Source organism: Homo sapiens, chromosome 3, assembly GCF_000001405.40.
Source record: "Homo sapiens chromosome 3, GRCh38.p14 Primary Assembly".
Lineage (NCBI taxonomy): Eukaryota > Metazoa > Chordata > Mammalia > Primates > Hominidae > Homo > Homo sapiens.
The window spans coordinates 14,996,285-15,021,793 of NC_000003.12; the positions used below are offsets into that span (position 1 = coordinate 14,996,285).

The window sequence follows — 25,509 nt, forward strand, 5'->3', positions numbered from 1 at the left end:
TATATGAGTTTGGATTTAATATTTTAAAATAAAATACAAAGAATTTTCTGTTTGAGAGACACATTAGCACATTGTATCATGTGTAGCAAAGACAGTTATATAGTTTTTATAACTTAGGTTTAGAAAAATTTTCAGGTTTGTGACAGTATCAGTTATCATTTGCTGAATGTAACTGATGTTTAACTTACTATTCATTAACCTTCACACCAGTGCCATAAAGTAGTAACAATATGTCCATGTTGAATTTGAGGAAATTTTGAAGTTTCACGTTTTAGCTATTAGAGGGTTTATTTGTTTATTTATTGAGACGGAGTCTCGCTCTGTCCCCCAGGCTGGAGTGCAGTGGTGCGATCTCAGCTCACTGCAAGCTCTGCCTCCCAGGTTCACACCATTCTCCTGCCTCAGCCTCCCGAGTAGCTGGGACTCCAGGCGCCCACCGCCATGCCCAGCTAATTTTTTGGTAGAGACAGGGTTTCACCGTGTTAGCCAGGATGGTCTCAATCTCCTGACCTCGTGATCCGCCCGCCTCGGCCTCCCAAAATGCTGGGATTACAGGTGTCAGCCACCACGCCTGGCTAGAGGGTTAATGACTTGTTTAAGGTGACAGTACAAGTTTCAGAGCCCAGGTCTGTCAGATTCCATAGCCTGTGGGTACTCCAATAATGTTGATGGCTTTAAAACTTCTTGCAAATAAAGTAAGGACCTGAGCCAAAATTTGGCCTGTTATTCTGCCAGTGAAGAATTTTCAATACAGTCACAAACCAAATGTGAACCACATAATGACGGTTCTGTCAGTGCTTGAGTGCCTATAGGAAGGAAGGTAGTCCCATAAGATTATAACTGTATTTTTACTGTACCTTTTCTATGTTTAGATACACAGATACTTACCATTCTGTTAGAGTCGGTTATAGTATTCACCACAGTCACATGCTGTACAGGTTTGTAGCCTAGGGGCAATAGGCCATACCACATAGCCTAATGTGTAGTAGGCTATGCCATCTAGGTTTGTTGTAAGTACATGTTATCATGTTCACATGATGAAATGACCTAATGACACATTTCTCAGAACATATTCCTGTCTTTAAGCAACACATAACTGTATCTAAAACTGGCAGAATTAACTTGCAGACTAATAGACTCAACCAAAATTTTAAATGTTCATTATTAAAGGATGCAATGAATATGCTCTGATAAAGTGATTGGCCAGCCTTTTCTTTTCAGTTATAAATAAACAGAGCTAGCAGTTATGTGTACATGGATCCTGGGAGACATACCTTGCAGGATCTCAGCCTCACCATACCTCCTATAAAATGGTTGTGCTTGTCCTGCCTATTTCTTAGCCAAGAGAGAGCTAATCCATATTTTTTAAGCTAAAAGTCACTGTAAAAATACTGGATTCTGTTGACTTCATTGTAGTGAATTTGTTGTTAAAATGTATGCTTATGAAAGAAAAAAAAATTTAATAGCCCAGTAATGAATTAATTGATAATATTTTATCAAATTGAGATATAATTCACATACCATAAAATTCATTTTTTAAAAATATACAGCTTAGTGGGTTTTAGTACATTCACAAGAGTATGCAACCATCACCACTATCTAAATCCAGAATGTTTTTATCATGCCCCCACTAAAAAACCCACATCTCTTAGCAATTATTCTTGCTACCCCTGTTCCCCTGTCACCTGGCAACCACTAATCTACTTTCTGTCCCCATGGATTTGCCTATTCTGGACATTTTAAATAAATAGAATCATGCAATATATGGTGGTCTTTCGTGGCTGAGTCTTCCATGTTGTAGCATGTATCAGCACTTCATTCCTTTTTATTGCCAAATAATACTCCATTACATGGATATACCATGTTTTATTTATCCATTCATCATTTGGGAGATATTTGAGTTGTTTCTACTTTTTGCCTGTTATCACTAATGCTGCTGTGAACATTTGTATACAAGCTTTTGTGTAGACATGTGTTTTTCTTTGTCTTGAGTATATACCTAGGAGTGAAATTATGGGTCATATGGCAACTCTGTGTTTACCCTTTGAGGAACAACCAGACTGTTTTCCAAAGTAACTGTACCATTCTACATTACTACCAGCAATGTATGAAGGTTCCCATCTCCACATTTTCACCAATACTTGTTATTGTCCATGTTTAACATTGTAGCCATCCTAGTGGATATGAAGTGGTATCTCATCATGGTCTTGATTTGCATTTCCCTAACTAATGACCTTGGAACATCTTTTCCTGTGCTTATTGGCCATTTGTATATCTTCTAGGAGAAATTTCTGTTTAACTCTTTGCTCATTTTTAAATTGGGATTTTTGTCTTGTTATTAAGTTGTAATGATATATGATTTGCACTTTTTTTTTCCCCCATTTTATAGGTTGTCTTTTCACTTCCTTGATGGTGTCTTTTGAAACACAAAACTCATTAATTTGAGTTCAGGTACGCTGGCTCACACCTGTAATCCCAACACTTTGGAAGGCCAAGGAGGAAGGATCACATGAGCCAGGAGTTGGAGACAAGCCTGGGCAACATAGGGAGACCTCATCTCTGCAAAAATATTTAAAATTAGGTGGCGCACGCCCATAGTCCCAGTTACATGGGGGGCTGAGGTAGGGAGATCACTTGAGCCTGGGAGGTTGGTTGAGGCTGCAGTGAGCCAAGATTGTGCCCCTGCATTCTGGCCTGGGCATCCAGGAGTGAGACCGTGTCTCAAAAAACAAAAAAAAAATTTTTTTTAAGGCCAGGTGCAGTGGCTCACGCCTGTAATCCCAGCACTTTGGGAGGCCCAGGCGGGTGGATCACCTGAGGTCAGGAGTTGGAGACCAGCCTGACCAACATGCAGAAACCCTGTCTCTACTAAAAATACAAAATTAGCCTGGTGTGGTGGCTCATGCCTATAATCTCAGCTACTCAGGAGGCTGAAGCAGGAGAATCACTTGAACCCAGGAGGCAGAGGTTGCGATGAGCCGAGATCGCACCATTGCACTCCAGCCTGGGCAACAAGAGTGAAACTCCGTCTCAAAAACAAACAAAAAAAATTTAAATTGGCCCGGCATGGTAGCACACACCTGTGATCCTAGCTGCTCAGGAAGCTGAGGTTGGGAGGATTGCTTGGGCCCAGGAGGATGAGGCTGCAGTGAACCATAATTGTGCTACTGCGCTCTAGCACAGGCAACAGAGTAAGAGATCTTGTCCCCCCCAAAAAAAAAGTTTCTAGTTTTAATGATTATTTTCTAATTTTTCTTGTGCTATTTTTGCTTTTGGTGTCATCTAAGAAACAATCACCTAATTCAAGTTCACGAAGATTTACACCTGTGTTTTCTGAGAGTTTTATAGTTTTAACTCTTACATTTAGATCTTTGATCCATTTTGATTTTTTTTTTTTGTAATAGTGCAAGGTAGGTGTCCAGATTTGTTCCCCTGCATTTGATTTCCACTTGTCCCATCACCATTTGTCGAAGACTGTTCTTTGCCTATTGAATTATCGTGGCACCTTTATCAAATTTGAACATATAGGTGAGGGTTTATTTCTGCATTCTCTGTTATATTCCATTGGTCTGTATGTCTTGTCTTTATGCCGGTACTGCAATTTTTTTAAGTTACAAATTGAGTTTATATTGCATATATTTACAGTACAAAGTGATGTTATGATCCGTGACTACAATGTGTAAAAATTAAATCAAGCTCATTAACATATCCATCACCTTAAATACTTATTTTTGCCATGAGAACATTTGAAATTTACTCTTAGCAATTTTGAAATGTACAATAGGCTATTATTAACTGTATTCGCCATGCTGTGCAATAGGTCTAAAAAAAAAGAAAAGTATTCCTCCTAAGATTTTGTACCTTTTGACCTGACTTTCATCTCCCCATTCCCCCTGCCCCTCAGCCTCTGTTAACTACCATTTTACTCTGGTTTTATGAGTTTGATTCTTTTAGATTCCACATTTAAGTAAGAACATGTGGTATTTGTCTTTCTGTGCCTGGCTTATTTCACTTACCATAATGTTCTCCAGTTCCATCCGTGTCATCAGAAATGACAGAATTTCCTTCTTTTTAAAGGCTGAATAGTATTCCATTGTGTGTATATACCACATTTTCTTTATTCATTCATCTATTGATGGACTTGTTGGTTGATTATGTAACTTGGCTATTGCAAACAGTGCTGCAGAGAACATGGGAGTGCAGACATCTCTTCAACAAACTGATTTCAAATCTTTTTGGGTAAACACCCAGAAGTGTGATTGCTGGATTCCACACAGTTTTAATTACCGTAGCTTTGTAAATAAGTTTTGAAATAAGGAAGTGTGAGACCTCCAACTTTGTTCTTTTTCAAGATTGTTTTGGATACTCTGGGTCCCATGCATTCCCATATGAATTTTAGGATCATTTTGTCAATTTATGCAAAAAAGCACCTGAAATTTTGATAGGGATTACATTGAATCTTTAGATCAATTTGGGGAATATCACCATCTTAACAATATTAAGTCACAAATGTCTTTCTATTTATTTAGGTTTTTTTTTTTTTTTTTTTTGACGGAGTCTTGCTCTGTTGCCAAGGCTGGAATGCAGTGGCACAATGTCGGCTCACTGCAAGCTCTGCCTCCCGGATTCACACCATTCTCCTGCCTCAGCCTCCTGAGTAGCTGGGACTACAGGCACCCGTCACCACGCCCGGCTAATTTTTTGTATTTTTAGTAGAGACAGGGTTTCACTGTGTTAGCCAGGGTGGTCTCAATCTCCTGACCTTGTGATGCACCTGCCTCGGCCTCCCAAAGTGCTGGGATTACAGGCGTGAGCCACCGTGCCCAGCCTATTTAGGTGTTTTAAATTTCTCATAGCAATATCTTATAGTTTTCAGTATTCAAATCTTGCATTTCTTTTGTTAAATTTATTTTATTTCTAAATATATTATCCTTTTTGATGCATGGTCAGTGGGATTGCTTCCTTAATTTCATTTTCAGATTGCTCATTGCTAATATATAAAAATACAATTGATTATTGTGTTTTTGTTTTGGGTTTTTTTTTTTTTTTTTTTTGGTTTTTTTTTTGGAGACAGAGTTTCACTCATGTCGCTCAGGCTGGAATGCAATGGCGTGATCTTGGCTCACTGCAACCTCCGCCTCCTGGGTTCAAGCAATTCTCCTGTCTCAGCCTCCTGAGTAGCTGGGATTACAGGCCCCGCCATCATACCCGGCTTATTTTTGTGTTTTTTAGTAGAGATGGGGTTTCACCATGTTGGCCAGGCTGGTCCTGAACTCCTGACCTCAGGTAATCCGCCTGCCTTGGCCTCCCAAAGTGCTGGGATTACAGGTGTGAGCCACTGTGCCTGGCCTTGTTTTTTGTTTTTGAAAGTCTTGCCCAGGCTGTGTAGTGACACAATCATGGCTCACTGCAACCTAGAACAACTGGGCTCAAGCAATCCTCCCACCTTAACCTACTGAGTACCCGGGACTTACAGGCACGTACCACCACACACACCTGATTTTTTGATTTTTTTGTAGAGATGGGTCTTGCTTTGTTGTCCGGACTGGTCTTAAACTCCTGACCTCAAGTGATCCTCCTACCTCGGTCTCCCAAAGTGCCAAGGTTACAGGCTTGAGCCACTGCACCTGGCCAGTTTTTGTGTTTTGATCTTATATCCTGCAACCCTGAAACTCGTCTACTTGCTCTGATGGGTTTTTTGTGGATTCTGTGGGATTTTTTTCTATATGAGATCATGTTATTTGCAAACAGAGATAGTTTTCTTCCTTTCTATTCTGAATGTTTTTATTCTTTTTCTTTCCTAATTGCCCTGGCTAGAACCCCTAGTGCAATGTTGAGGTAGAGAGAATGGACATCCTCATCTTATTCTTAACCTTAGAAGGAAAGCTTTTAGTCTTTTACCGCTAAGTATACTGTATAGCTGTGAGTATTTTATAGAGACCCTTTATCAGATTGAGAACTTTCCTTTTATATCTCGTTTATTGAGTGTTTTTTTCATGAAATGTTGTTAGATTTTGTCAAATGCTTTTTCGCCATCAATTGAAATAATTATGTGGCTTCTGTCCTTTATTCCTTTAATGCAATGTATAGAACTGTTTGATTTTCATATTTGAACAAGCTTGCTTTCCTGGGATGAACCCCAGTTATTCGTGGTGTATAATCCTTTATATACCACTGGATTTGGTTTGCTAGAGTTTTGTAGAGGATTGTTTGTGTTTCTATTCATAAGAGATATTGGTCTGTAGTTTTCTTTTCCTGTGATGTCTTTGGTTTCAGTATCAGGTAATATTGGCCTCACAGAATTGGGAAGTGTTTTCTTCTAATTTTAGGAAGAGTTTTTTGTGAAGTGTTCACAATATACTTTTTTTTTTTTTTTTTTTTTTTTTTTTTTGAGACAAAGTTTCACTCTTGTTGCCCAGGGTGGAGTACAATAGCATGATCTTGGCTCACTGCAACCTCCGCCTCCCGGGTTCAAGCGATTCTCCTGCCTCAGCCTCCCTAGTAGCTGGGATTACAGGCACGGGCCACCATGCCTGGCTAATTTTGTATTTTTAGTAGAGACAGGGTTTTACCATGTTGGTCAGGCTTGTCTCTAACTCCTGACCTCAAGTGATCCACCCACCTCGGCCTCCCAAAGTGCTGGGATTACAGGCGTGAGCTACCGCCGCCGACCCACAATACACTTTTTTTTTTTTCTGTCACCCAGGCTGGAGTGCAGTGGCACAATCTCCGCTTACTGCAGCCTCCACCTCCCTGGTTCAAGCGATTCTCCTGCCTCAGCCACACGAGTAGCTGGGATTACAGGTGCGCACCATCGTGCCTGGCTAATTTTTTTTTTTTTTTTTAATGTAGAGATGGAGTTTTACCATTTTGGCCAGCTGGTCTCGAACTCCTGACCTCAAGTGATCTGCCCACCTTGGCCTCCCGAATGCTGGGATTATAGGTGTGAGCCAGCACACCCAGCCACAATACACTTTCTATCAAGAAAAAATATATCTGCCTGCTTCAGATACCCAGGTGACCACTCAGCACCTTGTACCTTGCCTTTGGGATAGGTATTGACTAAATTTCAGACCCTGTGGTCCTGACAGGCTTTTCCCAGCTCCATCCCATTGGGGCTGAGAAATTACCAGGACGCTTTTATAAGTACTAATCCCAGTAGGTTTCAGTGTAATGTTGGTTTTGTTTGTCATCCCCTGCTGTGTTGTGAGAGCCTTTCTCGGGAAACCATATTAAAGGAATGTTTTACAGGTGGCTTTGGAGACAGGGATAACATTCAAAGATCATCTTTAAAATGTTGTTTTGGTAGGTTTTTACTTTATTAAAGTGTGCAGAGCACAACTGCAAATTCCTTTGGTTTCTTCTTACATTTTCAACATTTGAAACAGCTGTTTTAAGATTGTATTTTCCTGGGGGGCATCCTGTAGCAACATCTCATTGATTGCTTTGTCATCATCCTTCTGGGTCCATACCTCAGAACCATACAAGTTCATCACTCCAGGCCACAGTGAAAGCAAGAGGCGTGGTCTTCAGGCCACCTCTGGGCATCATTCTGAACCCCCTTGTGATCCAGCCCACTTCTCACCCACAGGTAACACGTACACAGACCTCTCGGCCGGAATCTCCAGGGATGACCAGCCCCTCCCCACGCATCCAGATAATCTCCACCGACTCTGCTGTAGCCTCACCTCAGCGCATTCAGGTACCTGCAACCTGCCAATGGCAACCCTGCCTTTCCAGAAGAACTCTTTCCAAAAACAAACCTTCCTAAGGGTTTCACTAAAGAGTTGTGCCTTTTGGGCATGAAATACAGTACAACTTCATCAATTCTTTAAAAAAAATAAAGAAAAAATGCTTACATTTATTTAACCAACTTACATTTAAAGCAAAAGCCTAAACTGTTGTTTCAAACCATTGAGATAAAGTACCATTTTATTACTTATTTGCTTCTAAATTGAGAGGCAGTATGTCTTAGTACTGTAATTAAGAGCAAGGGCCCCTACTTGAAGTCAAATCCAGTGCCCCACTTAGCTTTGTTGACCTTGGTCAATTAACTTTTTAATGCCTCACTTTCTTCATTTGGAAAATAGACATAATAGTAGTATTTGCCTCACGAAGTTATTATGAAGAATCAAAGGGATATTGCTTATAAAGTGCTTAGAATGGTACCTGGCACATAATAATGTTCAATATTTACTAATTATATAATAACTTATTACTAATATTGTTATTAACTAATCGATATTCACTTATGGGAAGTTGTCTTCCCTAGGGCTCTGAACCTGCCTCTGGCCCATTGAGTGTTTTCACATCTTTGAACAAAGAGAAGGTAGGTGTATCAAGCTTGAAGGCAAAAAGCTGGGAGGAAGGGATAATATATTGATGACAAAGATTTATTGTTATCTCAACAAGCTGAATCAAAAAGCCAATTATAACGGTTGATTTCTCTGTTTTTCTTCTTGCAGTTTTATCAGTTTTTTTGGCTCACTTTGATGCTCTGTTGTTAGTTGCATATATGTTTTATATTGTTATGTCTTTTTGGAGAATTAACCCTTTCTTGATCTTAGCCAAAAGGTCGAGAAGCGATGGAGAATTAACCCCTTTCTTGCTTGCTTTCTTGGTTGCTTGCTTTCTTTTTATTTATTTATTTTTGAGACAGAGTCTTGCTATGTTGCCCAGGCTGGTCTTGAACTCCTGACCTCAAGTGATACTCCTGCCTCAGCTTCCCAAAGTGCTGGGATTACAGGCATGAGCCACCATGCCCAGCCACCCCTTTCTTATTATGTACCATTTCCCTTTATGTTTATTTTCCTTGTTCTGAAGTCTGCTTTGTCTGAAATTACTATAGTTTTCTTTTTATTAGTGTTAGTTGCTAGCATGGTATAACTTTCTCTATGTTTTGACATTTTTTCTTTTTTTTGAGACAGGGTCTTGCTCTGTCACCCAGGCTGGAGTGCAATGGCGTGAACACAGCTCACTGCAGCCTCTACCTCAGAGGCTCAAGCCATCCTCCCATCTACGCCTCCCAAGTAGCTGGGACTACAGGTGCATACCACCATGCCTGGATACACACACGCATAATGCTTTTTTTTTTTTTTTTTTTTTTTTTATAAATAGGGATGGGGTTTCACCATGTTGCCAAGGTGGGTCTCAAACTCCTGAGCTCAAGCAATCCACCTGCCTCAGCCTCCCAAAGTGCTGGGACTACAGGTGTGAGCCAGCGTGCGTGGCCAACTTTTTTTTTTTTTTTTTTTTAGGAGAATCTTGCTCTGTTGCCCAGGCTGGAGTGCATTTACTATTCACAGACAGGATCATAGGGCACTACAACCTCAAACTCCTGAGCCCAAGCTGTCCTTTTGCCTCAGCCTCCCAAGTAGTTGGGACTACAAATGTGCACCACTGTCAGCTTCTCCATCCCTTTATTTTGCATCTGTCTGTGTCTTTATTTATAAAATGGGTCTCCTGTAGGCAATATGTATTGGGGTCTTGATTTTTTCCCATTTTTTTCCTACTTCCTACATAATTTCATAAGGGTCTTGTTTTTTTACCCAGCTGACAATCTGTCTTTTCATTGGTGGATGTGGATCAATTCATATTTAAAGTGATTGTTGATATATTTGGATTAATATCCTCCATTTAGGCTGGGTACAGTGGCTCATACTTGTAATCCCAGCACTTAGGGAGGCTGAAGAAGGCTTATTACTTGAGCCCAGGAGTTCGAGACCAGCCTGGGCAACAAAGTGAGATTGTATCTCTACAAAAAAACTAAAAAATTAGCCAGACATGGTGATGCATTCCTGTAGTCCTAGCTACTTGGGAGGCTTTGGTGGGAGGATTGCTTGAGCCCAGGAGGTTGAGGCTGCAGTGAGCTGTGATCATGCCACTGCACTCCAGCCTGGGCCACAGAGAGACCCTGTCTCAAAAAAATAAAATAGTAATTCAGAACTATTCATATGAGCTAAAATTTATACTTAAGTAAAAGATTTATTTACCATTTTGCAAAGGTCAGGATTTATTTACCTTTTTGCAAACCTTTTTTAAAGCAGGTTCTTTTTACCCTTTTTATTTTTAGTCAATAATCTTTGCTATTATCTTTTGGTATGCTCTAATATACCCTGACCTATCTTATAAACTTTATATATATGCTATATGTAAATTCTATGTATACTATAGGAAATTGTGTATATGTAGGTATGTGAGTGGGCAGGTGGGTATGTGTGTGTATATAAATAGTATAGGAAATCTGAAGAGCTGGTTTTGGGTTGAGGGACAAACCCTTGAAGGGATTCTCATTGTACTCAGAAAGAAATCCAAACTCGCAGCAGGGCCGTTCCACCTCCCTCTCTAGGTTCCTGGGCCATGCTGGTTGTCTGTGGGCCTGATAGCAGTTCCCAAGAAACTGTTCCTCCCAGGGCTTTCCATATACCAGAACATTTCTCTTTGCTGGGAACACTAAACATTTATTTGGCTGCTGTCTCCTCAGCCTTGAATCTTTTTTTTTTTTTTTTTTAAAGGCATTTCGCTCTTGTCGCCCAGGCTGGAGTACAGTGGCACAGTGTTGGCTCACTGCAACTTCTGCCTCCCAGGTTCAAGCAATTCTTCTGCCTCAGCCTCCCAAATAGCTGGGATTACAGACATGCGCCACCACGCCAGGCTAATTTTGTATTTTCAGTAGAGACAGAGTTTCACCATGTTGGCCAGGCTGGTCTCGAACTCCTGACCTCAGCTGATCAGCCTGCCTCGGCCTCCCAAAGTGCTGGGATTACAGGCGCGAGCCACTGTGCCACCCAGCCCAAATCTCATCTTAAATGTCACCTTGTCACAGAGGTTTTCCCTGACCTCTCTTTTTTTTTTTTTTTTTGAGGCGGAGTCTCGCTCTGTCGCCCAGGCTGGAGTGTAGTGGCGCGATCTTGGCTCACTGCAACCTCCGCCTCCCGGGTTCATGCCATTCTCCTGCCTCAGCCTGCCGAGTAGCTGGGAATACAGGTGCTCGCCACCACACCTGGCTAAATTTTTATATTTTTAGTAGGGACGGGGTTTCACCATGTTAGACAGGATGGTCTCGGTCTCCTGACCTTATGATCCGCCTGCCTCGGCCTCCCAAAATTCTGGGATTACAGGCATGAGCCACCGTGCCCAGCCCCCTGACCTCTCTTTTTAAAGTTAAGTACTTTTGTTATTCAGGGTTACCCCAACCTGATCTTTTCCCTCATAACATGTACCATAAATTGAAATTGTTTACTGACTGGTTTGTTTCCTTGTGTATTGCCAGTCTCTTCCATTGAACTAAAAGTTTCATGAGGGCAGGAGCCATCTTCATATGCCACTGTCTAACACAGTGTCTGACAGAGTAGCCCCTCAGTAAATATTTTAGGAATGAATGAAAGAATGAGTAAGCCATGGTAAAAAGTCTTGACTTTTTCCTCAGGAGCGATTTGATAAGATGAAAGGGATAAGACAAGACTGAGTGAGGAAAGGAGTATGTGAGAGCTTAGAGGGAAGAAATACTTTACCAAGGTCCTGTCATGTTCTGGGCAGTGTACCAAACAGTTTCACACACATCGTATCATTTCACTTTCCTAGTCATCCTTTTTCATAGATATATAAATGGAGCTCAAGGGCTTATGTAACTGCTCCAAGTTGACACAGCTGGGAAGTAGAAGAGCAAGCATTCCTATTCATGTCTGTAGCTACCAAGCCCTTTCTCGGGTGTTTACAGTGAAAGAGGTGGCAAGGTGGATAGGGATAAACTGGAGAGGCTACCTCATCTAAAGAGGTAGCCAACCCACACCCGCTCCAGCCACCTGGCACCATGGGGAGAACTTGAGCCCAGGATGACCTGAGCTTCCAGTTTGTCAAGAGAACTATAAATTTGATTTTGATTATGGGAAATACTCAATTTTTAGATGTTAGCAAACAGTTTTTTTGTTTGTTTGTTTTTTTTTTTAAATTAGGGGGCTGAGTGCAGTGGCTCACACCTGTGATCCCAGCACTTTGGAGGCCGATGTAGGTGGATCGCTTGATCTCAGGAGTTCAAGACCAGCCTGGGCAACCTAGTGAGACGTCATCTCTATAAAAAATACAAAAATTAGCCAGGCGTGCTGGCACGAGCCTGTAGTCCCAGTTACTCAGGAGACTGAGATGGGAGGATCACTTGAGGCTGAGAGGTGGAGGTTGTAAAGAGCCAACATCGTGCTGCTGCACTCCAGCCTGGGTGACAGAATAAGACCTGGTCTCAAGAAAAAAAAAAAACAAAAACTTTGGGTACTCAAACAAAAGTTATCCAGTGGCTGGTTTTTGCCTGCAGGCCATTCATTGGCAGGCTCTTCTTTGCAACAGAGATGTTGAACTGGCTGGAACAGAGTGGGTAACATGGGGGAGAATGGTGGTGTATGAGATCATTCCAGGGTCCTTTGGGATTAGAACTAGAGAGGACCTTAGCTTAGTAAAGTCAGTTCTGCTATAATGTGATGTGTGTTCCTGAAAATTCCCACACTTTGCCAAATTGTGTGATGAAAACCACAGGACTGATTGGAAAAAATGAAATTAGTGACACTCAAAAACTTTGTCAGTAACGTATTAAAAAACAGATAGTGAATCTAATAAAACCTGCAAGTGGTTAAATACATAGTGACTATAATAAATATGGTACTTGGTCGGGCGCGGCGGCTAGTGCCTATAATCCCAGCACTTTGGGAGGCCGAGGTGGACGGATCACCTGAGGTTGGGAGTTTGAGACCAGCCTGACCAACATGGAGAAATCCCATCTCTACTAAAAATACAAAAAATTAGCGGGGCATGGTGACGCATACCTGTAATCCCAGCTACTCGGGAGGCTGAGGCAGGAGAATGACTTGAACCTGGGAGGCGGAGGTTGCAGTGAGCCAAGATCGTGCCATTGCACTCCAGCCTGGGCAACAAGAGCGAAACTCCGTCTCAAAAATAAATAAGTAAATACGGCACTTTACCTAGAAAAAGCCTTGTAGATTCTTTGTGGAGGTAGGTGTAGGGAGGATTGCGTCTCATGAGTTACTGTGAGTGGTGGACATGGGGTGACCTGAAATCACCAGATGGATTGAATGTGACTCATACCATGTGCACTGAGTATCCCTGCATGGATCACTTCACCTCAGTGTTTATTCATGGAAGAAACCATGCATAAACACAAAATTTGCATTATACTCAAATTATTTACTAACATATCAATCATGTTCAAACAAATTCATCTTTTCACAACAAGCATTATGGCAGCTCTGAGTGTATAGGTAGGCTATTGAGGGCCTTAAAAATCACAGAAAACAACACATATCTTCTTAACGTTACTTCATTCCCCCCAGTTTGTTATAGTTTACAGACAGGAATTTAAGAACTTTTGTTCCAAGTAAAGAAATAAAATTTGCCTCTTGTATTAGTTTCCCAGGGCTGTCACAATAAATTACCACAAACTTAGTGGCTTAAAACAATAGAAATTTATTTTCCCAACCTTCTGGTGGCCAGAAGTCTGAAATCAAGGTGTCAGCAGGGCCATGCTCTCTTAAGGTTCTAGGAGAGTGTCCTTCCTTGCCTCTTCCTACCTTCTGGTGGGTGCCAGCAGTCCTTGGCATTCCTCGCTTGCTTGCAGCTGCATCACTCCAATCTCTGCCTCCATTGCCACATGGTCTTCTTATAAGGACACCAGTCATTGAATTAGGGCCCACCCTAATGCAGTATTACCTCATCTTATCCTAATTACATTTGCAAAGGCCCTACTTCCAAGTAAGGTACATTAATAGATACTGGGAATTATGGCTGGAATGTATCTTTTCAGGGGGTACAGTTCTATGCACAATACCTCTCCTCCACAGCCGACTTAAATTTTAATGAGCTTGGATATATCCTTGCAATTTGATGTGTCCTCTAGGTCATTAAATAGGAATCTATCTGTGTTTGTTAACAAGGTCTTGCCTAATGGTCACCCTTGTGTTCCAATAGGGTATTTGGGAGATTTTTTTTTCTGCCTGCATTTTTAGTTTTTTCATGGGCGTGATCTCTCTAAATGGAGGATACGGATGTCTTAGGAGGGTGAAGATAAAAAAAAAAAACCCAAAATTATAAGTAATTCATTGAATTTTTATAAGCGTGAGTCTTTGAGAAAAAAAGAAAAGAATAATCTAGCCAGGTGCATTGGTTCTCACCTGTAAACTCCTTGGGAGGCGAAGGCACGAGGATCACTTGAGCCTAGATGTTCAAGACCAGCTTGGGCAAAATAGTAAGACCCCATCTCTAGAGAAAAAAAAAAATTGCCAGGCATGGTGGTGCTTACCTGTAGTCCCAGCTACTCTGGAGGCTGAGATGGGAGGATTGCTTGAGCCTAGGAGGTCGAGGCTGCAGTGAGCCAGGATCGTGCTACTGCACTCCAATGTGGGTAACAGAACAAGACCCTGTCTCAAAAAAAAAAAAAAAAATTCTGAGCCTTGAGGTATGTTATATACTGCCACTAAGAGCTGCTGTCCTTGTCTGGAACCAGTAACTTCTACTTCCCAACATACCCTGACCTCATACTTGCCATACCTCAACCACAATGACTGGAGAAGAGCATACAAGAAATGACATGCTGGTTATCTGTGTGTGCTCTGGTACAGCATGTGTCATCCCTGAACACAAAAGGGCAAAGGAATTACTAGTGTTGCCTTGGTTTTAGTTGGTAATTGAAGACCCCTCTCAATCACATAACTGTCATTTCTTAACAGGGAAAACAGTTTAGGAAGGAAACAAAAATTGATAGACATGAGCTGGGCTTGGTGGCTCATGCCTGAATCCTAGCACTTTGGGAGGCCAAGGCGGCAGGATCACTTGAGCCCAGGAATTTGAGGTCACCTGGGCAACAAAATGATACTCCATCTCCACAAAAAAATTTTCTAAAAAATTAGCTGGGTGTGGTGGCACGCGCCTGTGGTCTCAGCTACACAGAAGGCCAAAGCAGAAGGATTGCTTGGGCCCAGGAGGTTGAGACTGCGGTGAGCCATGCTCATGCCACTGCACGCCAGCCTGGGTGACAAAGCGAGACTCTTGTCTCAAAAAAAAGAAAAAGAATTGATAGACATATGACTCACAGAGCTCAGGTTATGAGGGCTTCCAAAGGCCATCTTCTTTATCTAAGGCAAGAATCCCTTCTGTGGCAGCTGAGAGAAGTATGTGTCAACCAGCCTGTGTCTGCAATCTTTCAGTTGAGCTGTGGGTAGGAAAGTTTTTTTTAAAGATAATTCTTTTCACAAGGTTTTCTGTCTCATGTTTTATGTTTCTGGGGGACTCCGGGCATGCCACAGATTGTAATGATGAAAGTTTCTTCCTTTCATTCCCTCCAAATCCATTCTCCTTGAGCCTTAAACATCTTTTGCCCCTTTAGTTGGAAATGATGATATACTGGGGTTTGTCCCATAATCAGCTGAGTATTCATTCTTGGATCTGTCATCCTATTCTGCTGCCTCTCTGGTCTTGCACTTGGCTGTGCCGTGTAGCACACTTTGCCGCATTTTTGCAGTTTACTGTTGTGTTTGATTCAAGTCTTTGTTCAGTGTCACATACTCAGAGATGTCTTTCCTCCTAAAGTTGCATCCCTGTCTCCTTCCCAATGTCATGCTTTCTCTGTTTATTCTGCTTTTTGTTTTCTCCAGGGCATTTACACTGACTGATATTATTTATTCAGAGTTCATGGTCTGCTTCCCCCAATAGAAGTTTAGTTCTATGATGGTGGGACCTTTTTTTGTTCACGTCCCTATTCCTAGTACCTAGAACAGTGTTTGACTCGTAGTGGGTGCTCAGTAAACATTTAAGTGATTGAATCTTTTCTTGCCTATGTCATTTTATTTTGAGCCAGCCAACATTGTCTTATTTTCCGTATTGCAGTTAGCCAAGCTGTTGTGTTAGACTGTGTGAGTTTGTTGTCTCAACCTTGAAGTTCCATTTCTTTTTTTTTTTTGGAGACGGAGTTTCCCTTTTGTCGCTCAGGCTGGAGTGCAGTGGCGCAATCTCAGCTCACTGCAAACTCTGCCTCTGAGTTCAAGCGATTCTCGTGTCTTGGCATTCCAAGTAGCTGGGACTACAGGCGCCCATCACCACGCCCAGCTAATTTTTGTATTTTTAGTAGAGACAGGGTTTCGCCATGTTGACCAGGCTGGTCTTGAACTCCTGACATCAGGTGATCCTCCCACCTCGGCCTCCCAGAGTGTTGGGATTACAGACATGAGCCACTGCGTCCGGCTGGAGTTCCATTTCAAAAGTGTGGTACAGATGCTAGACCTGCCCATAAGTGTACTGTGCTGTAGGAAACTGAGTTCCAGCCAGAGACATAGCATGTTTCCCCTCACCCAACACAGCAGCAGCAGCTCAAGAGTCTTCTTTGCAGTAAGGGTCTGCTGGTGCCTGGAGGGAGAGGTGGCAGTGCTGCTAGCCAGGAACATCTGGTCTAGAAGAGAGGCAGGACGGGGATTAGAACAACTTCAGAGAACTTCATGAGCAAGAATAAGAGAGTTCATTCTTGTCATAGCAGCTGTTTTTGTTGTGACTGATGCAATTAGACAAGGACTGTGTGAAGAAGTGGAGTCTTGACAGCGAGACTCCTGAAGAGTGAGAACTCCCAGAGGAATAAGGGTCAAGACTTCTCCAGAGTCAGTGCCCACTTCCTTCGGTGCATCCTAGGATCTTTTATTGTCGTCTCTCTATGTGGCAGGCCTTGTGCTGGCCCTGGGGATATAGCAGTGAATCAGATGTAGTCTCTATCCTTAAAGACCTCAGAGTCAGGAAGTGGGAGTGAAGGAGGTGGGTGGTCAATTAGTGGTAAGTTGAGTGTGTGTCAGCAGGGGTCTCCCTGTATTCTCTCAACCTAAGGCAATATTATTTACAGGACCTTTTAGAAAGAGGCTGTCTTTGAAACAGTCATTCCCAAGTTTTTGGCTTTTGTGGATCAGTAGCATTTCAAAAGAGTTAGGATTGCCTACATTTGTTATTAGGTGAGGACAAGGACTTTTCAAAAAGTTAAACCTACTATTTATTATTGCCTTCATTTCATAAAAGAAAGGGCATTTTAATTCTAAAAACAGTAGGAAAGATATAGTCCTAGACTAAAATTAGCTTTATGAAAATTTGTTTCTGAAAAGCTCACTATTGTGTTTTATTTTTCTCAGTTCACCGTGGACTGGTGAAAATGCATGTTAGACAGCATTAATTCAAGGACTGGTTTTTGGCAGTCACCACTTTGAGCACCACCTGCAAATGCATGGGTCTTGTGACACTCCATGAGAGCAGCCTCCATGTTGTGTCTTATAGATTGTCACAGACCAGCAGACAGGACAGAAAATCCAGATAGTCACCGCAGTGGACGCCTCCGGATCCCCCAAACAGCAGTTCATCCTGACCAGCCCAGATGGAGCTGGAACTGGGAAGGTGATCCTGGCTTCCCCAGAGACATCCAGCGCCAAGCAACTCATATTCACCACCTCAGACAACCTCGTCCCTGGCAGGATCCAGGTAAGGCCTTTGGACAGGTATTTGTTTCAGCACTTCTGCTATTGAACTTGTTCCTGACTTGTTCTTACATCTGCCTTCGAGGCCAAATCCATCCCTGGAAGGTTCCTTGGGGACCTGCAAACATGGCAGGTTGCTGCTTTGGCCAAAGTAATAAACCAGCAATCCAGTGGCAAGGCCCAGAAGACAGTCAACTATAACACTCAGAGAGGATGGAAGTAGAACCTGGAAGTCAGTGGCCACAGGAGACTGACATGAGCAAGCCGGCACTGAGGCTACTGGAGAATTGTTCTTACCTAAGGCCATCAAGTGGCAGCCCTTGATATTTTAAAGGTACCACCTAGGGCTGACTACAGCCAGGCGAGAACCGACTTGTCCAGATCATCAGGTCTGTGGCCCCAGCTTTTCATTCTGTCTTTACTTGCCACTGTGTACTACTCGCCCTGGGCCCCTCAATTCTTGTCTCTATCTCTGCCCTGGTTCTTCCTGCTCTGTTAAGGCAGGATGGGGTTGAGGACAGTCCACAGCAAGGAAAAGAGCAGACATTGAAGGAAAGCAGGGTTGTTGCTAGCATGAGTCTGGGAAGTATAGAATCTCCAAACCCAACAATTAGAGAACAGAAACTCAAGGTCAGTATCCCATGATGGCTGAGCATGGAGCATGCTTCGTCAGGGTTGTGTTTCATTTTTTTTTTTAATTTTTGATAAAATACACATAATATAAAACTTAACATCTTAACCAGCTTTAGGTATACAGTTTAGTGGCATTAAGTAGATTTACATTGTTGTACCACTATCTAGCTCTGTGTAACTCTTTTCCTCTTCCTAAGCTGAAACTCTGTACTCATTGAATAGTAACTCTCCTCTCCCCCTCCCCCAGCCCCTGGTGACCACCATTCTACTTTCTGTCTCCATGAATTTGACTACTCTAGGTACCTCATATAAGTGAAATCAGCCTTTGTGTGACTGGCTTATTTCACCCATCCATGTTGTAGCATGTGTCAGAATTCCATTCCTTTTAAAGGCTGAGTAGTATTCCACTCTGTATATAGACCACATTTTATCTCTTCATCTGTTGGTGGACATGTAGGTTGCTTCCACCTTTTGGCTGTTGAATTAATGCTGCTTAGAATCTCTGTTTTGGGTGGGGAGGTTCTACTATGAAGAAACTTAAAGAAGGGAAGACTTTTTTTGTCTTCTGATTGAGCTGGGATCAGAACGCCAACATGTTCAGCTTTCAGAACTGTTCTTTTAGACACCTTACGCTACACTTACTAAATGCTGTCTCATCCTTCCTTTCCCGGAGTACATTGTGATCATCTGAAATCAGAATTCCTTCCTCCTCCTTTAGAGTACTCCTTGTCTGTGAAAGAATGGCTGTTGATTTTGTTGCATGTTTCACAAGAGGTGATTCTACTTAATGATTTCTGTATGTGTTCCCACCATGTATAAATCATTTTAAGGCTTATTGTTGGCTCAAGTTCAAGTACATTTTAAAATAACAGCTATTTTTCACTTTCTTATATTGATATCAGTTATAGTATTCTCCCAGATGAATTGCTGTCGCCTAGAAAATCACCACAAATGAGGGGAAGATAGCAGGTTTCAAAGGTCATTTGTTCTCGTCATCAGCTCACCACCAGCTGCCTCAGTCGGAGTCCTAGTTATTTAATTAATAAAGTTTGGTTATTTCTCTGCCAATACACCTCTTTGCGTACATTCAAGTTGTTACGGGAAGAATCTTAAATATCTTCATTTTGAAGCCTCTGTGTGTGATTCCCCACATGGGCCACAATTTTGGGTGGTTGTAGTAGCCAGATAGAGTAGATCAGTGGAAACCAGCGCCTGACCCTGGGAAACCAGCCAGCTGATGAGCAGTCCGGATGAGTGGCAGAGCCATTCTGGGTGTCAGATTAAGTTGTCTTCTGGAATTTTGCCAGTTCTGTCCAGAGTTCTGCTTAAAAACCCAACATTGAGAATTTGTAATTAAACATTACTTTGCTTAGTGATCTGGGTTTTTGCTTGTTTGTTTTTGAGATGGGGTCTCACTCTGTCACCCAGCCTGGAGTGCAGTGGTGCGATCTCGGCTCACTACAACCTCTGCCTCCCGGGTTGAAGCAATTCTCCTGCCTCAGCCTCCAGAGTAGCTGGGGATTACAGGCACCCACCACCACATTTGACTAATTTTGTATTTTTAGTAGAGACAGGGTTTCACCATGTTAGTCAGGCTGGTCTCGAACTCCCGACCTCAAGTGATCCACCCACCTCAGCCTCCCAAAGTGCTGGGATTATAGACGTGAGCCACCGTGCCCGGCAGTGATTTGATTTTTAATTGGCACCCCTGTTCGTTTCCTGATTTCTCTCAGATTGTCACGGATTCTGCCTCTGTGGAGCGTTTACTGGGGAAGACGGACGTCCAGCGGCCCCAGGTGGTAGAGTACTGTGTGGTCTGTGGCGACAAAGCCTCCGGTATGTAGTTCCAGGTTATGCTGGCACTTATAATGGGCCAACAGCATGAAGTAACTGTTGTGAGGTGGGGTGGTAGTTAATTTAGAAGGACCATTTTATGTACGTTTGTAGGTTTCACATGTGAATTCTACTTTTCTTATTGGGGTAATGATGTAAATAAGTAAGGTAGTTTGTCAGAAATTAGACATCAAAAGGAAAAGTCAAGAAATTATTTCTGTGATTTGTAAATCTTGGTTGAGTGTGTAGTATTTATGTGCTGCTAAGAAAGTACTCATTGTCTAATCTTGTTAACATTTGTACAGCACTTGGCTATTTTACAAGGTGTATAATTTGTATAATCCCCCTTCATCCTAACTGTAACTATCTCTTAACATCCCCTCACTATAACCCACTGTAAATAACTGCTGTAATGAAGCAGGAGGAGGCATGTGATTCCAGCTAGTGTCCCAGGGTCAGGAAAGGCCCCACAGAGGCAGTCGCACCTGGGAGCCTTGGTAATTGTGTACATGTTGGTTGGAGCAGGAGGAGGGCATTCCAGCAAGTGGAGCCAGGGCCTAGAGTTTAAGATCAATACCCATGGTATCCTTGAGAGAGAGCTCATAGGCTTCTGTGATTACGATTGGGTAAAGTGAGACTGAAGAAGATGTCTGGCCCAAAAATTCAAGTGCTGGCCTGCTTGTACTGGGGATCCATAGAAGGTTAGTGAGGCAGACAGGAAGGAATGGAGAAGTATTTTACAAGAACACAGTACCAGGAATGCCAGGGGCACAGGCCTGTGTTCTGTGATGGCTGCTTGGTTCCACTTTCTTCTGTGGTCACAAAATTCACAGGAACTTTGGGCACTGTAGTCCTGGTTTTTGTTTGTTTTGTTTTTTAAAAAGGAGGTTGGACCAAGCCTCTTAGGAAGACAGCCCCAAGCAAGCATCTACAGAAGATCAGAAGCTCCAGTTTCCCTTCCATGCTGGTGACACCATTTATCTGCCAATGGTGCCTGCCTCTGCTCCCGCCCTTTGTCCTGGTAAACCCAACCCATCCTATCCCTTCTCTGAAGCCCTCACCTACCCCAGTAGGCAGATAGACAGTGCTGCTTGTGATTCTGATTGCCCTTTCCTACAGATTAATCACTTGTTGCATACTCATATAATTCACTCTTTACAGGCCTGTCTTCCCCATCAGAATGTCAGAGCAAAAACCATGTCTTACCATCTATCTCTGTATTCCTGTCTTCTTGCTCAGCAAGGAAAGGCTCTCTACAAACTTCTGAACAAATGAGTGAAGCATGAACGTAACAAAAGGGCCATAGAATCTGCTTGGCTTCCCCATTTGTCAGTCTTCTTCTGAGCTTAAAGGAAAGGCCTAGTCACAGGCTCTTGGTGCCATTGTCTCCTGATATTAGTGTCACTCAAAGGGATAGAGAACTCAAGGAAATATACTGCAAAGAAAGGAAAAACAATATTATAGAAGGCACTTTACCACAACTATTCTTAAAAGAAAAAGACTGAGTTATTCCAGATGCACACTTGGGAAATGGTTTTGCATACTAGAGCTTAGAACAGTGGGATTCTCTGTAGCCACCATAAATGGTAATCCTGTGAAATGTATCCTCCTTGGCAATGTAGCTATGAAATTGGATTATACAAACAAGACAGAATCAGAAGAGCATGTCCATGGTCAGTCTCAGCTGGAAACAAGTGGGCATAATGTATGTGAAAGTACTTTGTGAATAAGAAAGCTAAACTGAAGGAGGGGCCGCTTTTTTTTTGAGATGGAGTCTCACTCTGTCCCTCAGGTTGGAGTGCAGTGGTGTGATCTTGGCTCACTGCAACCTTTGCCTCCCAGATTCAAGCAATTCTCTTGCCTCAGCCTCCCAAGTAGCTGGGACTATAGGTGTCTGCCACCACGCCTGGCTAATTTTTGTATTTTTAGTAGAGACTGGGTTTCACCATATTGGCCAGGCTGGTCTCGAACTCCTAACCTTGTGATCTGCCTGCCTTGGCCTCCCAAAGTGCTGGGATTACAGGCATGAGCCACCTTGCCCAGCCAGGGGCACTTTTTAATGTCATTGATAATTAAAAGTTGGAGATACCATGCAAACTGTACACCTGACAAAGGGTTACTACCCAGAACATATAGCGAACTTAAACAACTCGACAGCAAAAAAAACAAGTAACCCAATTTTAAAATGGGCAAAATACCTTAATAGACATTTCGCAAAAGAAGACATTCAAATGGCCGAGTTATATGAAAAAATGCTCAACATCACTAATCTTCAGGGAAATGCAAATCACCACATGAGGTATCACCTCCAGTTAGGATGTCTATAATCAGGCTGGGTGCAGTGGCTCATGCCTATAATCCCAGCACTTTGGCAGGCCGAGGTGGGCAGATCACATGAGGCCGGGAGTTCAAGACCAGCCTGACCAACGTGGCAAAACCTCATCTCTACTGATTTTTGTATTTTTATGAGATATATATTTTTTGGCAGGGTGCGGTGTCTCACATCTGTAATCCCAGCACTTTGGGAGACCAAGGCAGGTGGATCACCTGAGGTCAGGAGTTCGAGACTAGCCTGGCCAACATGGTAAAACCGTCTCTACTAAAAATACAAAAATTAGCTGGGTGTGGTAGCGGGTTCCTGTAATCCCAGCTACTTGGGAGGCTCAGGCAGGAGAATTGCTTGAACCTGGGAGGCAGAGGTTGCAGTAAGCCAAGATCGCACCACTGCACTCCAGCCTGGGTGACAAAAGCAAGACTCTTGTCTTAAAAAAAAAAAAAAAAAAAAAAAGATTTTATTTTTATAAAATCTTATAAAAATAAAAAAATTAGCCTAGTGTGGTGGTGCACACCTATAATTCCAGCTACTCGGGAGGCTGAGGCACAAGAATCACTTGAACCCAGGAGGTGGAGGTTGCAGTGAGCCGAAATCATGGCCACTGCACTCCAGTCTGAGTGACTAAGACTCTTGTCTCAAAAAAAAAGAAAAGAAAAAATGTCTACAATTAAAAAGACGAAAAGAAGTGCTAGGGAGGATGTGGAGAAAAGGGAACACTTACACATTGTTGGTGGGATTGTAAACTAGTACAGCCACTATAGAAAACTGTATGGAGGTTCTTCAAAAAATTAAAAATAGAACTACCACATGATCCAGCAATCTCAGTACTGGATCCATATCCAAAGGAAATAAAATCATTATGTTGAAGAAATATCTGCACTCCCACGCTTACTGCATGACTATTTACAATGGCCAAGATGTGGAATCAGCTTAAGTATCCAACAGCGGATGAATGGATAAAGAAAATGTGGTATGTAACACAGTGGAATACATAAAACTGAATGAAATCCTGCACTTTGTGACAACATAGATGAACATGGAGGACATCATGTTACATGAAATAAGCCAGACACAGAAAGACAAATACGATCTCACTCATGTGGAATCCTTAAAAAAAAAAATTGATATCATAGAAACAGAGAGTAGAATAATGGCACCAAGACTCAGGAGGGGAAAAGTGAGAGATAGTTGGGAAAGACTGACCAACTGGTACAAAGTTACAGTTAAGTAGTAGGAACAAGTTCTGGTGTTCTATTGCACTGTAGCCATAGCTAACAATAAGGTATTATATATTATAAAATACCTAGAAGAAAGGGTTTTGAATGTCCTTATTAACAAAGAAATGATAAATGCATAAGGTGATGGTCACTCTATCTGATTTGATCATTATACAACGTGGATATATTGAAATATCAAATTATGCCTCATAAATATGGACATGGACAATTACAATGTATCAGAAATAAAAAGAGACACCAAAGTAAAACAAGATTAGAAAAATGGACTGTGTTTAATAAATGCATTCCTAGAACTGTGTTTCTAGAAGGCTTTGAGTGGCTAGCCCAGGTGGAACCATATGGTAATCCTCTTTTGCTGTGGGCTTCGGCAGTGACAGTCCCCATGCTTCTCCCTGTGACTATCCCGCTTCCCCAGGGGAGGTTTCGGGCCCAGGACGTGAATCAGAGAGGGGCTAAATGCAGGAGTGAGACCCTCTGTGCCAAAGCCACACATGCACGTGTTTGCTATGTGCCACTCGTGGCAGGACAGGGGCCCTGAGCCGCATCACAAGCCCAGATCTCCAGGAATAGGACCCAGGTGTGTTCAAGTGGACAGTAGAGTTCAGCCGTCACCTGTGAGCTCCTACTGTATGTTAGACCATTTGTATACTAAGAGCACTAAGGTCATGCCATCTGCCAGCTGTCATATAACCTGTCTGAGTTTCAGTATTTCCATCATGAATTCATAAGGCTACTTGAAAGATGGTAGAGAAATTACGTGAAGGGTGTGGCCAGTATGCTTAATGCTCAGGCCACGTGGCTGTTGGCATCTAACAGTGTATGGCACCCATCACTTCAATGAGACTTGCACAGGAACTGACAGATCACCTCTTTGGTGAATCCACAAATATAGTCACAAAATATTTGTGTATTCTTTCTCCTGTTTCAGGCCGTCACTATGGGGCTGTCAGTTGTGAAGGTTGCAAAGGTTTCTTCAAAAGGAGTGTGAGGAAAAATTTGACCTACAGCTGCCGGAGCAACCAAGACTGCATCATCAATAAACATCACCGGAACCGCTGTCAGTTTTGCCGGCTGAAAAAATGCTTAGAGATGGGCATGAAAATGGAATGTGAGTAACAATATTTAAAAACCACATGAGTTAATGTGGAGGGAGACAGTAAATGAGTCCATTAAATAAGGTTTCTATACCTGGCCTTAAAATACTTTAAGAAAAAAATATGCACTCAGGCTTCATTTTGGTTTACCTCATGGGTCAGCCAGGTGATTGAGAGCCAACGCTGCAGGGGTTGGTCTCTTCCTGCTGTGTGTGTGGAAAGCCTTATTACAGATGCATCAGGAGGCAGCTTAGTGGAGTGGGTTGAACACAGGCTTTGGAGGAAAGCTGATACCAAATCTACCTCCAGGTGTGCCACTAAGAGAGAGCTATGATGCCTGAGGATACACGTAGCCTCTCAGCCACAGGGTCCTCATCTGTGATCTACTTAATCACCTTACTTATATATTGCTCCTGAGGATTACATGAGCCTACTCCCTGTCTTCTTAGCCCCTCTACTTTCTTTTGGGATAAGGTCCTTTGCCAAGCCTCTGTGTAGCTGGGATTCTAAAGAGAAAGCTATTGCTCCTGGATGTGTGGGGCAGCCAGGGAAGGTCTCAGGCCCCTCCTTTCCACTCCCATAGACAGAATTTTGGGGGTTTTCAGGGACCAGTCAGCATGGAGGTCACTTCCCTAGCTAGTGGTGAAAACATGAAGACCAGGACTCAAGATGGGCAGCACAAAGAAATCCAAGGAGAGTGGAGTTAGGCTTAAGCCACAGTAGGAAAATGGAGCTTAGCAGAGCAAGGCATGCAACTTGCATGCAACTTGCATGGCAAGGCTGGTGGCCGAGGACCCAGGACTGCAGGCTTCCGCTGAGTATGCTGCATGGTTCTGTCATCTTTTGCATAGTTTTCTAGGAACTCTGAAAACCAA

General features: G+C 42.6%; 1 protein-coding gene across 25 annotated transcripts in view; it reads left to right on the plus strand.

Moving 5' to 3' along the window:
• NR2C2 (nuclear receptor subfamily 2 group C member 2) overlaps nt 1-25,509 on the plus strand; it is a 101,691-nt gene that overhangs the window by 48,702 nt on the left and 27,480 nt on the right. For 16 of the 25 annotated variants that reach the window (XM_047448826.1, XM_047448825.1, XM_047448829.1 and 13 more), the window contains 5 exons: nt 7,592-7,702; nt 8,273-8,329; nt 17,305-17,505; nt 19,868-19,970; nt 24,469-24,648. In XM_047448826.1, coding sequence (XP_047304782.1) covers nt 7,592-7,702; nt 8,273-8,329; nt 17,305-17,505; nt 19,868-19,970; nt 24,469-24,648 — 652 coding nt within the window. Of the gene's footprint in view, nt 1-7,591; nt 7,703-8,272; nt 8,330-17,304; nt 17,506-17,529; nt 17,891-19,867; nt 19,971-24,468; nt 24,649-25,509 lie in introns of those variants that run through there. The other 9 variants (XM_047448830.1, XM_047448836.1, XM_011534063.4 and 6 more) reach the window with 2 other exon arrangements.